The 15,388-nt window shown below is 37.1% G+C and overlaps 1 long non-coding RNA gene across 2 annotated transcripts in view; it reads left to right on the top strand.

Moving 5' to 3' along the window:
- Positions 1–15,388, top strand: part of ZFPM2-AS1 (ZFPM2 antisense RNA 1) — a 280,094-nt gene that overhangs the window by 133,409 nt on the left and 131,297 nt on the right. The window lies entirely within an intron of this gene.

Raw genomic sequence — 15,388 nt, 5'->3', positions numbered from 1 at the left:
GGTGCTGTCAGGCAAACCATCCATGTTTGGATCATGCAGTAGATATATTTCTATCAGTAAGGCATCTGTACTACTATTCTCCAAAGTAATTACACCATTTTATGATCCCACCAAAAATGAATAAGAGTAATGATTATTCCATATTCTCACCAACATTTGATATTATTAATGTTTTACTTTACCCATTCTTGTGGTCATGAAATAGTATCTCATGCTATAGATAGTGTATTAATCCATTTTCACATTGCTGATAAAGACATACCTGAGACTGGGAAGAAAAAGAGGTTTAATTGGACTTATAGTTCCACATGGCTGGGGAGGCCTCAGAATCATGGTGGGAGGTGAAAGGCACTTCTTACATGACAGCAACAAGAGAAAAAATGAGAGAGAAGCAAAAATGGAAACCTGTGATAAATCCATCAGATCTCATAAGACTTATTCACTATCACAAGAATAGCATGGGAAAGGCTGGCCCCCATGATTGAATTACTTCCCACTGGTTCCTTCCCACAACATGTGGGAATTCTGGGAGGTACAATTCAAGTTGAGATTTGGGTGGGGACACAATCAAACCATATCAGATAGTATGAAAATTAAAGTAATGATATTATTTTAATTTCCCTGATGACCAATAATGCCAAACAATTTTTCATGTATGTTTTTTGCAATTGCATATATTCTTTTCTGAGGCATTGGTTCAAGTCCTTTCTTTTTTTCAAAAATTGGGTTGTCTTTATTATTGATCTATAGAAGATATAATTATGTTAGATATAAATATTAGAAATATTTTTTCCAGTCTATGGCTTGCTTATCATTTTTAATCTATATTTTTGATGTACAGAATACTTAATTTTTGATGTTCAATTTTATCAATTTTTTCTTTTGTGTGCTTTTTGTATTCTGACTAATTTTGTGAGGTTTCTTGTCCTGTATTTGCAGCCAAGTTTTTCTATTTTGTTGTTGTTGTTGATTATAAAGTGCTTGTGCTCAGAAGTTTCTTTATTTTACTTTTCTATTTATTACTGAACTGTGACATTTTATTTTAACCTCCTTTATTTACACATTCTACATTTCTCCTTCGAGGTATTTTCTTAAAAAATCATAGAGTCATTTATCTCTTATTATTAAAAAATATTTTCCCAAACACTTTCTCATGTATTTCTTAGTGTGATCTCAGTTCTTTATACATTATTAGTCTAATTTTTACTGATAATTATTTCCCTTTAACTTTTGCTGCAGTTTTGTTTGTTTGTTTGTTTTGGTAATAGCCAAATGTAACTTCGATGTTAGTTTATTAGTCAGGGTTCTCTACAGGGACAGAACTAATGGAATATATATATGGGAATTTATTAAGTTATTAACTCACATGATCACAACTTCCCACAATAGGCTATCTGCAGGCTGAGGAGCAAGGAGAGCCAATCTGAGTTCCAAAGCTGAAGAATTTGAAGTCCAATATTTGAGGGCAGGAAGCATCCAGCACGGGAGAAAGATGTAGGCTGGGTGGCTAGGCCAGTCTCTCTTTTCACATTTTTCTACCTGCTTATATTCTAGCTGCACTGGCAGTTGATTAGATTTTGCCTACCCAGATTAAGGGTGGATCTGCCTTTCCCAATCCACTGACTCAAATGTTAATCTCCTTTGGCAACATCCTGGCAGACACACCCGGGATCAATACTTTGTATCCTTCAATCCAATCAAGTTGACACTCAGTATTAACAATCACAGCTAGCTTCTATTTAGATTTTCCCAATCTTGATTGGGAGATCTTACGGAATTTCTGAAGAAGTCTGTATGGCATGGAATAAAAGAGAATTAGCTGCTGCATTTGGACCCAAAATGGTATGTTTTTAAAACATCAATTATCTTCTCCCCATGTTATTGTTTTCCACTTTGGAGTAATGTTTCTCTCAATTTTGTTGTTGTGAAAGCTATTGGGCTTCACAGTGAAGGCTCAGGATTAAATGCCTATGCCTCTCTCTGTAGAAATAGTCTGGCTGCTTTCTCCTTCTCCTTCATTTCTATCTCACTTTGGGGCATCTTCCTGGGCAAAAAGTTTAAGGAATATAAAGTAACAAGAGCATGCATGTGTGGTTCTTTCCCTGTCAGGTCCAATTATCCTATAGATCTGATATGTGGGTCCGGGGCCTTAGGGAATATCCTTTGTTTTTGCTGTAGCCCGTCCAAACTTGTGAATTCATCACTTGAAGTCAAGAATTGTTAGATGAGTTTTTAAAACTGTCTCACATACACTATATTCACTGAGCACTGAAAGTTGAGGGTTAACTCTCAGAGCTATTTCGTCCAAATTTACCACCTGTAACAGGTTTTCTTTACATTTCTGTTTTGAAGTCACAGATATTTTCTTGATTCATTTAATAGTTTTTGTTTTTATTACTTTTTATTTACATTATTTATTTTAGATTCAAGGGGTACATGTGCAGGTTTGTTACAAGGGTGCATTGCATAATTCTGGGGTTTGGGCTTCTATTGAACCCATCACTCAGGTAGTGAGCGTAGTACCCAATAGTTTTTCAACCATTGACCCTCTCTCTCCCTCCCCACTCTAGCAGTACCCAGTGTCTATTGTTCCCATGTTTATGTCCATGTGTACCCATTGTTTAGCTCCCAGGTATAACAGAGAACATGGGGTATTTGCTTTTCTGTTTCTCCATTAGATCACTTAGGATAATGGCCTCCAGTTGCATCTATGTTGCTGCAAAGGACAGAATTCCATTCTTTATTACGGCTGTGTAATATTTGATGGGGTATATGTACCACATTTTCTTGATCCAATTCACCATTGATAGGCACTTAGGTTGATTCCATGACTTTGCTATTGCGAATAGTGCTGAGATAAACATGTTGAGAAAAAGCAGGTGTCTTTTTGTTAGAAGGATTTCTTTTTCTTTGGGCAATTACTGGTAGTGGGATTTCTAGATCAAATGGTAATTCTGTTTTTAGGTCTTTGAGAAATCTGCATACTGTTTTCCATAGGGGTTGAACTAATTTACATCCCACCAACAGTGTATTAGTGCTCCCTTTTCTCCATATCCTCACCAACATTTGTTATTTTTCTACTGTTTAGTAATAGTCATTCTGACTGGTGTAAGATGGTATCTCATTGTGGTTTTAATTTGCATTTCTCTGATGAAAAGTGATGTTGAGTATTTTTTCATATGTTTGTTGACTGCTTATATGACTTCCTTTGGGAATTATCTGTTCATGTCCTTTGCCCACTTTTTAATGGGCTTATCAGTGTTTTTTTCTTATTAATTTGTTTAAGTTTCTTATAGATTCTTGATATTAGTCCTTTGTTGGATGTGTACTTTGCAAATATTTTCTGCCATTCTGTAGGTTGTCTGTTTATTCTGTTGATTGTTTATTTTGCTGTGCAGATGCTCTTTAGTTAAGTCCCAACTGTCAATTTTTTGTTTTGTTACATTTGCTTTTGAGGTCTTAGTCATAAATTTATTGCCTAGGCCAATGTTGAGAAAGTTTTTCCTGGATTTACCTCTAGGATTTTTATGGTTTGAGGAATTATATTGAAATCTTTAATCCATCTTGACTTAATTTTTGCATGGTGAGAGGTAGGTGCCCAGTTTCTTTTTTCTGCATATGGCTAGCCAGTTTTCCCAGCACCATTTATTGAATAAGGTGTCCTTTGCCCGTGATTTATTTGGGTCAACTTTGTCAAACCTGAGTTGGTTGTAGGTGTGTCACTTTATGTCTGGGTTATCTATTCTGTTCCATTGATGTATTTCTCTATTTGGTTGTACAAATACCATGCTGTTTTGGTTACTATAACCTTGCAGAATAGTTTGAAGTCAAGTAATGTGATGCCTCCAGTTCTGTTCTTTTTATTTAGGATTGCTTTGGCTATTTAAGCTATTCTTTGGTTTCATATAAATTTTAGAATTGTTTTTCCTGACTGTGAAAAGTGGCATTGGTGATTTGATAGAAATTGTCTTGAATCTGTAGATTGTTGAATCTGTAGATTGCTTTGGGGAGTATGGTCATTTTAGTGATATTGATTCTTCCAATCCACACATGAAATGTTTTCCATTTCTTTGTGTCATCTGTGATTTCTTTAAGCAGTGTTTTGTAGTTCTTCTTGTAGAGATATTTTACCTCCTTGGTTAAAGGTATTCCTAGATATTTTATTTTTTGTGGCTATTGTAAATGGGATTGCATTATTTATTTGTTTCTCAGCTTAGACATTATTGATGTATCAAAATGCTACTGATTTTTGTACATTGATTTTGTACCCTGAAACTTCACTGAAGTCATTGATTAGATCTATGAGTCTTTTGGAGGAATCTTTAGGGTATCCTACATATGAAATCATACCACTAGCAAAGAGAAAATTTGACTTTCTCTCCCTATTTGGATGCCTTTCGTTTCTTTTACTTGTCTGATTGCTCTGGCTAGAACATCCAGTACTATGTTGAATATGAGTGGTGAGAATGGATATCCTTGTTTTGCTCTGGTTCTGCTTCCAACTTTGCCCACTCAGTATGATGTTGGCCGTAGGTTTGTCATAGATGGCTCTTATTATTTTGAGGTATATTCCTTCTATATCTAGTGTTGAGGGTTCCATTCTTGAAGAGATGTCAGATTTTATCAAATCCTTTTTGTGTCTGTTGAGATGATTATATAGGTTTTGTTTTTAATTTTGTTTATGTGTTGAAGCACATTTATTGATTTGTATACATTGAATTATCCTTACATTACAGGAATAAACTTACCACCTGGTAGTGGTAAGTTACTTTTTTTGATGTGATGCTGGATTTAGATTGCTAGTATTTTGTTGAGGACTTTTGCATCTAGGTCCATCAGGGATATTGGCTTGTAGTTTTCTTTTTGTTTTGTCCTTGCTGGATTTTTGTATTAGAATGATACTAGTTTCATAGAATGAGTGAGAAAGGAGTCCCTCCTCCTTGATTTTTTTTTTTTTTTGGAATAGTTTAATTAAGATTGATACCACTTCTTTGTATGTTTGGTAGAATTAGGCCATGAATCCATTTGGTCCAGGGCTTTTTCTGGTTGGTAGATTTTTTTATTTACTGATTCAGTCTCATAATCTTTTTTTATTACTGATTCAATCTCATAATTTGTTATTAGTCTATTCAGGATTCCAGTTTCTTCCTGGTTCAGTCTTGGGACATTGTGTGTTTTTGGGAAATTATCCATTTCATCTAGGTTTTCTAGTCTCTGTGCATAGAGATGTTCATAGTAGTCTCTGAGGATCTTTGGTATTTCTGTGGTAACCTTTATGTAACTGTCCAACGTGTACATCTTGCCCATTCCCCAGACAGAGCTGACTGATCAAAACATGGGAATTGCAATGAAGAAAATAATTCACACAGAGCCAGCTGTGTGAGAGACCAGAGTTTTATTATTACTCCAATCAAATATTCGAGTATTTGGGGATCAGAGTTTTTAAGGATAATTTAGTGAGTGGATGAAGGACAGTGAGTCGAGAGTGCTGATTGGTTGGATTGGAGATGAAATCATAGGGAGTTGATCCTCTTGCACTGAGTCAGTTCCTGGGTGGGGGCCAAAAGATCAGAAGAGCCAGTTTATTGATCTGGGTGGTGCCAGCTAATCCATCAAGTGCAGGATCTGCAAAATATCTCAAGCACTGATCTTAGGAGCAGTTTTGAGAGGGTCAGAATCTTGTAGACTCCAGCTGCATGACTCCTAAGCCATTATTTCCAATCTTCTGGTTAATCTGTTAGTCCTACAAAGGCAATCTAGTCCCCAGGCAAGAAGGAGGTTTGTTTTGGTTAATGGCTATTATTGTCTTTGTTTTAAACTATAAGTTATAAATTAAGTTCCTGTGAAAGTTAGTTCAGCTGGCTCCCAGGAATGAATGAGAACAGCATGGAGATTAGAAGCAAGATAGAGATGGTTAGGTCAGATCTCTTCTACTGTCTCAGTTATAATTTTGCAATGGTAGTTTCATTTCTAATGTCAACTTTGTCATTTCTCATTATATTTGTTTGGATCTTTTCTCTCTTTTTTTTTTCTTGGTTAATGTAACCAGCAATCTATCAACCTTGTTTATTACTTCAAAGAACCAACTTTTCATTTTGTTGATCCTTTGTATGTTTTTCTTGGTCTCAGTTCCATTTAGTTTTTTTTTTTCTTGTGCTAACTTTAAGTTTAGTTTGTTCTTGTTTTTCTAGTTCCTTTAGGCGCCAGGTTAGATTGTTAATTTGATCTTTCTATCTTTTTAATGTAGGCATTTAGCACTAAAAACATTCTTCTCAACACTGCTTTAGCTGCATCCCAGAGGCTTTCGTATGTTGTGTCTCTGTTTTGTTTTGAAATATGTTGTGATTTCTGCCTTAATTTTGTTGTTTATCCAAAGGTCATTCAGCAGCAAGTTGTTTGGTTTCCAGGTATTTGTGTGGTTTAAAGTGTTCCTCTTGGTATTAATTTCTAATTTTATTCCACTGTGATCCAATAAGAGGCTTGATATGATTTTTATTTTTATTTATTTTTTTATTGAGGTTTGCTTTATGACTGAGCATGTGGTCAATCTTAGAGAATGTTTCAAGGGCAGATGAGAAGAAGAAATACTCTGTGGTTGTTGAGTGGACTATTCTGTAGATATCTTTTAGGTGTGTTTGGTCCAGAGTCCAATTTAAGTCCAGAATCTCTTTGTAATTTTTCTGCTTCATACTGTCTAATGCTCTAAGTGAGGTGTTAAAGACCCCCACTATTACTGTATGGCTGTCTGTTTCTTTCCTTAGATCTAGTAGTATTTATTTTATAAATCGAGTGCTCTGATGTTGGGTGCATATATATTTAGGATGGTTAGATTTTCTTGTTAACGTGAACACCTTATCATTATATAACACCCATCTTTGTCTTTTTTTTTTTTCTTTCACTGTTGTTGGTTTAAAGTCTCTTTCATCTGACACAAAGATTGTAAACTCTGGGCTTTTTTGTTTACCATTTGCTTAAATATCTTTAGACTTCCCTCTACTTTGAGCCTATGGGTAGCATTATATGGAAGATGTTACTCTTCAAGGCAGCAGATAGGTTCTTGTTGTTGTCGTCGTTGTTGTTTTCATTCGATTTGCCACTCTTTCTTTTGAGTAGAGCATTTATACTGTTCGTGTTCATGGTTAATATTGATATGCATGGTTTTGTTCCTGTCTTATTGCTATTAGTTAGTTGCTTTGTAGTCTTCATTGTGTGATGACTTTATAGGGTCTGAGGCTTCGTATTTATGTGTGCTTTTATAATAGCAAGTATTGTTCTTTTGTTTCCATGTTTAAAACTTCCTTAAGCATTCCTTGTAGGGCCAATTTTGATGTGATTAATTCCCTTGGTGTTTGTTTTTCTGGGAAAGACTTTATTTCACTTTCATTATGAAGCTTCATTTGCCAGGAATATAAAATTTGTATGTATTAGTCTGTTCTCATGTCTAATAAAGACATATCTGAGACTGGGTAATTTAAAAAGGAAAGACATTTAATAGACTCACAGTTCTGCAGGGAGGAGAAGGCCTCAGGCAACTTACAATAATGGGTAGAAGGGGAAGCATACAAGTCGTTCTTCACATGGTGACAGCAAGGAGAAGTGCCAAGCAAAAGGGGGAAAAGCTCCTTGTAAAACTACCAGAACTTGTGAGAACTCACTATCACAAGAACAGCAGAATGGGAGTAATTGTCCCCATGATTCAATTACCTCACAGTGGGTTCTTCCCACGATATGTGGGGATTATGGGAACTACAATTCAAGATGAGATTTGGGTGGGAACACAGCCAAGCCTTATAATTCTTCCCCTGGCACCAATTCTCATATCCTCCCAACAGTCCCCCAAAGTTTTAACTCATTCCAGCATTAACACAAAACTCCAAAGTCTCATCTGAGACAAAGCAAATCCCTTTCACCTATGAGCCTGTAAAATCAAAAGCAAGTTAGTTACTTCCCATATACAGTGATGGTACAGGCATTGGGTAAATACACTTATTCCAAATGGGAGAAATTGACTCAAATGAAGGGGATACAGGCCCCATGCAAGTCCAAAATATAGCAGGGCAGTCAAATATTAAAGCTCCAAAATGATCTCCTTTGACTCCATGTCTCACATCCAGATCATGCTGATGCAGGAGGTGGGATCCCACAGCCTTGAGCAGCTCTGCCCCTGTGGCTTTGCAAGGTACAGCCCCCTCCTGGCTTTTTTCATGGGGTGGCATTGAGTGTCTACAGCTTTTACAAGTACACAGTGCAAGTTGTCAGTGGATCTACCATTCTGGGGTCTGAAGGATGGCAGCCCTCTTCTCATAGCTCCACTAGGCAGTTCCTCAGTGGGGACTCTATGTGGGGCTCCAATCCCCTATTTCTTTTGTGCACTGCCCTCGCAGATGTTCTCCATGAGGGCTCCACCTCTGTAGCAAGCTTTTTCCTGGATATCCAGGCATTTCCATACATTCTTTGAAATCTAGCTGGAGGTTCCCCAACCTTAATTCTTGACTTCTGTGCACCTGTAGGCCCACCACCACATGGAAGCCTCCAAGGCTTGGGGCTTGCCCCCTCTGAAGCAATGGCCTGAGTTGCACTTTGGCCCTATTTAGCCCCAGCTGGAGCAGCTGGGACACAGGACAGCAAGTCTCAAGGCTGCACACAGCAGGGTGGCCCTGGACCTGGTCCAGGAAACCATTTTTCCCTCCTAGGCCTCTGGGCCTGTGATAGGAGGGGTTGCTGTGAAAGTCTCTGACATATCCTGGAGACATTTTCCCCAATATCTTGGTGGTTAACATTTGGCTTCTTGTTACTTATGCAAATGTTTGCAGCCAGCTTGAATTTCTTCCCAGAAAATGGGGTTTTCTTTTCTATTGCATCATCAGGCTGCAAATTTTCCAAACTTTTATGCTCTTTTCCCTGTCTAATGCTTTGCTGCTTAGAAATTTCTTCTCCCAGATACTCATCTCTCTCAAGTTCAAAATTCCACAGATCTCTGGACCAGGGGCAAAATGCCTCCAGTTTCTTTGCATAGCAAGAGTGACCTTTACTCCAGTTCCCAATAAGTTCCTCATCTCCATTTGAGACCACCTCAGCCTGGACCTTATTGTCCATATCACTATTAGCATTTTGGTCAAAGCCATTCAACAAATATCTAGGAAGTTCCAAATTTTCCCACATTTTCCTATCTTCTTCTGAGTCTTCTAAACTGTTCCAATCTCTGCCTGTTACCCAGTTTCAAAGTTGCGTCCACATTTTCAGGTATCTTTACAGCAGCACCCCATTCCAGGTACCAACTTACCGTATTAGTTCATTCTCACTCTGCTAATAAAGACATACCTGAGACTGGGTAATGTATAAAGGAAAGAGGTTTAATTGACTCACAATTCTGCAGGGCTGGGAAGGCCTCAGGAAACTTAAAATCATGGTAGAAGGGGAAGCAAACATGTACTTCTTCACGTGGCAGCAGCAAGGAGAAGTGCCGAGCAAAACAGGGAAAAGCCCCTTACAGAACCATCACATCTTGAGAGAATTCACTTACTACCATGAGAACAGCAGCACTGGTGTAACCACCCCCATGATTCCATTACCTGCCACCAGGTCCCTCCCATGACACATGGGGATTATGAGAACTACAATTCAAGATGAGATTTTGGTGGGGACACAGTCAAAGCATATCATCTTGGTTGGCTTTTTTTTTAAAGAAGGCTAAAAATAGGCCCCCAATTTTTTCTGGCTTGTAAGGTTTGTTCTGAGAAGTACACTGTAAGTCTGATGAGAATTCCTTTATATGTAATTTGGCCCTTTTCTCTAGCTAACTTTAAATTTTTTGTCTTTTGCTTGGACCTTGGATAGTGTGATGACTATATGCCTTGGGGATTGTTGTATAACACAGTATCTCATAGGCATTATCTGGATTTCTTCTATCTGAATATTGACTCTCTAGCAAGATTAGGGAAGTTTTCCTGAATTATTTCCTTAGATATATTTTCCAAGTTGCTTACTTTTTATCCTACTCTCTCAGAAATGACAAAAAGTCATAGGTTTTGTCACTTTACATAATCCTATATTTCTCGAAGGCTTTGTTTATTCTTTTAATTTTTTTTCTTTATTTTTGTCTGACTGAGTTAATTTGAAAGATTAGTCCTCAAGTTCTGAAATTCTTTATTCTGCTTGGTCTAGTCTAGAGTTAAAGCTTTCAACTGAATTTTGAAACTGCTCTAGTGAATTTTTCAGTTCCAGAAGTTCTTTTGGTTGATTTTTCTTAATATAGCTATGCCATCTTTCATAACCTGAATTGTTTTCCTGCTTTCTTTGTGTTAGATTCCAACTTTCTCTTGGATCTAATTGAGTTTCTTTGCCATTCATATTTGAATTCTTTATCTATCACTTCAGATATTTCAATTGGGTTAGGATCTGTTATTGCTACAGAGCTAGTGTGATCCTTTGGTGGTGTCACAACACTCTGCCTTTTTGTACTGCCAGCGTTCTTTTGCTGATTCCTTTTCATCTCAGAGAGCTGTTACTTCTTTTTTTAAATTTGATATTGTTTGGATTATTTTTAAAAATTCTTTTTTTCTTGAGTGTATAAATGTGTTTTATGTTGTGTATGGTTTTTTGGCTTAATTTCTATGCATTTTCAGTGGGTCAAGGCTCTGTATGGGTTCCTTGGTTGCAGGTAGCTTCTGTGCAGTGGCTTTCTCATATGCTGTTTGTTATAATGGTGTTTTGGATATAAGGGCCAACCCTGTGAGGCTAAGGGTGTGGAAGTCTCAGGAGGCTTATCTCATGGACTATCACTAAGCCCTCTGGTAGCAGGATTTTTGTTTGGTGGTGCAATGTAGGCTGCAGTCCAGTATATGGTGCTTTAAGAGTGAGAGCTTGCAGGTAGACTGGTGCTGAGTGTACTTGCCCACCCTGATGGGGGTTGTGGGAAGAGATTTTAATGGGGGGGCGTACACTGAGGTCTTGGGATAAGGGATAGGGTAGGGTACAACAGCTCCTCATCCTGAGCTGGCAGAAACATAATCCACTTCTCTATCACACCTCTCTCATTGGGCTCATGACCTTCTATTTATAAAGGCTTTTCCTTTTGTTCATTCACCTGCACCCTGCCTGAGTGTAGCTGCTGCAGGCCATGGTTACCCGTGTCAGCTACCATTAAAATGGGGCTTGGGACAGAGCCCAACTCCAAATGGGGCTTGGGCAGGCAACTCCATGGTATGTCCTCCATTGCCAAGGTGCTACCACTCTGTGTAAGGAGGGTGAGAAGGGCCCCACCCTTCTCGAAAGTCCAAGTGTGCACAGGCTCACATTCAGAGGGATGGAGCCACCATGAAAAGTATGAAAAGCACTTTCTTTGATTACGTAGCAGCCCCTGGTAGGAAGAACTGTGGCTACATCGGGAACATTCCACAATAGTGTTTTAGGGTAGGGGGAGAAGACACCCTCTCCTTTGTCCCCAGGCATCAGTGCTAACTTTCAATGGTCAGCCCTCCTCCTGTGTTTCCTTATCCCAAGGGGATCTTTGGCAGGCTGTGTTTCCCTTCCCTTAAAGGTGGTCCATACCAAGTGGTAGATCTCCTGAGGAAAGTGATTTAAAAAATAGTGGAATTTTGAGTGCGATCTAGGAAATTTATTGTGTATTCAGTGTATATGTGCCCTGACAATGAATAGAGAAAGAACTTTTTGTATAACTATTTTATAGGTTAAGAAACCAAGATTCAGTGAGACCAAGTTTTTTGGTCATCTTCTCATATGACAGAGCTGGGAAGAATCCCCTGAGTTTCCTAGTTCATGTTATTTGTACTTTGACTGGTCTTCATTATCTTTTCCAAGTTCTTTCCCAAAAAATATTTATCACCTGATGAAAAATGCAAAGCATTTAGCAACACAATCAGGGTAACATATATGAAAACGTTATGCTTTTCAGAATTTTCTCACTTTGAACACTTAAACCTGATTATTTAGGAAAGTCCACAAAAGCCTCCCAAACTCAATATAGCTTCCTTAGCTTCTTAGTATGATTATATTCAATAGTATTATATTTCCTCTAAGATGGTACAGACTGGTAATAAGGACAGATTTTACAGAAAATTAGCTCTTCTAATCCTGAGACCTAAGTTATGGACAAAAAAGAAGATAAGTGGAAACTGAGTTGCTTTTAGTACATTCACTTGATTTTATTAAATTTTTATTAATCACTAATTCATTTACTCAATAGATGTTTTTGAAATACCTACCTTTAAGTATATGTGAAACCAGGGATAAAAGCTACCATTTATTGAATGACTATTGTGTGCTAATATTGGGTGAGATATTCTACATACATATTTACGCTGTTAATCAAGTTAGGCCTCCAGAGTCTGACCATAAACAATAATCCTGTTAATTAAGACAGCATGAGTGAAAATGTCCATGTCCATTCCCATGTTCATCACAATCTTTGAGTATTTGCTTCCATTCTGCACTCCCTCTAACTGGTAGAAATAAGGTGCTCATGAATTTTTCCAGGTGAGTTTGCGTACAAACATTGGTAAAACAAGGTTCCAATCAGATTTTTCTTTTTGCCTCAGAATTAATGTCGGGACACTGATGGAGTCTGCTGATAGTATTAAAGTTCTTAAAAAGTATAAGAAATTCTTGCTTAAGGATTGGTATCAATCTTCCTAATAATTTAATTGCTTTTTTTAACTTATACTAGTTTGAGTACATTTTTGTTCTTTTAAAACAAGTGTTTCCTAAGATAATATATAAACAGAGAAGTAGGCCCATGTGGGAGGGAATTCATCAAGTAGATGAACATCTTTGTAGTAACAATGAGACCAGAGAAAGACATCTACAAATGTGATATTTTAAAAATAATGTTAACAATTAATGTTTATATAAAGCTTTAAATTTGCAATGCATATTTACATAAATAATCTTACTTGATCTTCTCAATTACCTAGTGAAATAATCATCCAATTTCATATGTGAAAATCATCCACAATAAGTTATTTGCCAAAAGTTACAACTAATAAGTGGTTGGTCCAGGGTTATATGCCAGATTCTCTCATTATAAACCTTTAGTTCTTTCCATAGTATCGAGGCTTCTATGTTATCACTTGTTCTTTATAAAATGCTTGACTAAATGGAGGTTCCTACATCTTATGATCTTATGATCATCAGTTCCTAAAGGACAGAATTTCAACAAATTGAGATAGTCACATTATGTCAATTATCTGCCACTCTAAAAATAATATCTACACTGCAGTTCTTAAAAGAATAATAGGAAAAAATAGACTTAAGAAACACGTATGTTAAGAGGAATATCAGAAAAAGGGATACAGGAAGTAATTATTCCAATTACCAAGTATTTGTTCATGTATAGAATGATTCACTGCCGGCTCCATTAAATAATATTCATTAGATGAACTTTAATTTATACAAATTAAATTTCCGTAAAACGTCATAGAGATATAGGTCATTACAGAGTTAAAAAAAATGCAAAGTCATCTAATCTAACTAAAACTATTTCGTAAAGTGGAACAAATGTGATTTTATTATCCAACTATTTGCTGTTTGTTATCTTCCAAGGAAACTGTGATTTAATTGATTTCTATAAATGCTTATTGGGTATGCAGGGCATGTACCTAGAAACTGGAAGCATATCATTACAATAACCCATGGGCCCCTGATTTCCAGTGAAAACAATACACAAATGCTTGTATGACAAGGTGGATTTTGGCAAGCACTACACTAACAGTATAACATGTAATAGAGGAACTGGGAAAGAAAATATTTAATTCAAACTTAAGTGCTCTGGAAACCCTCCAATGAGGAAATATAAGGGAACATGAAGTATTAAAGTCTTAAAGGGTGATCAACACCCATATTTCAATTTAAAGAGATTTTTATTTCTATTTAACTGTTTTTAAGATCCTGATTGGTTAAGCTCAATTTTGTAAATCCAAGCTCTCAGTGATAATTATATTTAACTCTCTATGTATTGACTGTTAATGGAGCATGCATGTAAATTATGACCAATATGTTAGGATCTACAAGACAATAAACTGCATCCATCTTTTCCAATAAACAAATAGGTAAATATAAAGACAAGTCCAAACTAACATCTATACAATTGATATAGGCCAGTTTAGAAGGTGATGGATTAACGTGGGATCCAAATGCACTACTTTTATGTTATGCAAGCCCCAGAATAAGAAGATTGACTCATCAGTCACAGCAGCATTGGTCTTCTACCAACCTTTACCTCCCTTCCTGTGAGCAGAGCAGGGAGAAGATGGAAATGGTGGCGAAGGAGGTTGGAGCTCAGCTAAGCAAAGGAGGTAACCCTTCACGAGTTTACTTTGCAAACAACTCACTTCCACTCCCCCGGGGAAAGGAAAATAAAGAACAGAGAGGTGCAAGGAATGTGAGAATGTGCCTCTTCATGGAAACCAGGAGTGAGGAAATTATATTCCATTGCTAATATCCCATGAGATGATTCTGATTATTAGGGAAGATATATATCTTTTGGGATTATTTGCAGTCTTTTTCCTATAAATTGCCAAGCTTATACTTTTTTAAGAATGGTCAATTTTTTTTAGAAAGGTGTTTAATTATCTTTTTTTATATTTGTAAGATCTAAATAAATAGTATGACAGTAGATATAAGAATAAGTGACATAGTCAGTAACTGTTGTCTCACATATATAACCTCTAAATTTCTTTTTTTTTTTTTCACTTTGTATAATCCACCTCTCCTCTTTGGTGGGGATTGGCCTGAGTTTCAGGAGTGAGGTATCTTTTACTCAGTGGTAGATATAACTGAAACAAAAAAAGGTAAAAAGAAGAGGAAGAAAACCGATGAAATAGGGAAAAGTAATGAAAGAAAAAAATTGACTTGGAGGAATTCTAGAAACACATTTTGACTTTTACCTTCTAAACCAGTGGATGGTTGAGCAGATATGCAGGCATCTAAAGAAGCCAGAGGAGTGGTAATTATTCCTGGATTCTCTGCAGACAATTCAGTCCATGAATATCAATAACTTTTTTAAAAACTTTAGCTGATATGGCTTGGCTGTGTCTCCACCCAAAATCTCCTCTTGAATTTTAATTCCCATAACCCCCACATGTCAAGGGCAGGATGAGGTGGAAGTAATCAGATCATGGGGGTGGTTTCCCCCATGCTGTTCTCATGATAGTGAGTAAGTCTCATGGGATCTGATGGTTTTGTAAGCATCTGGCATTTCCCCTACTTGCACTCACTCCATCCTGCCACCCTGTGAAGAGGTGCCTGTTTCTCTTTTGCCTTCTGTCATGATTGTAAGTTTGTGGAGGCCTCCCCAGCAATGCAGAACCGTGAGTCAATTAAACCTCTTTCATTTATAAATTACCCAATCTTGGGTATTTCTTCATAGCAG

Source organism: Homo sapiens, chromosome 8, assembly GCF_000001405.40.
Source record: "Homo sapiens chromosome 8, GRCh38.p14 Primary Assembly".
In the NCBI taxonomy this organism is placed as follows: domain Eukaryota; kingdom Metazoa; phylum Chordata; class Mammalia; order Primates; family Hominidae; genus Homo; species Homo sapiens.
The sequence above is the reverse complement of the archived record's forward strand: the minus strand, read 5'-3'. Positions and strand labels throughout refer to the sequence as shown.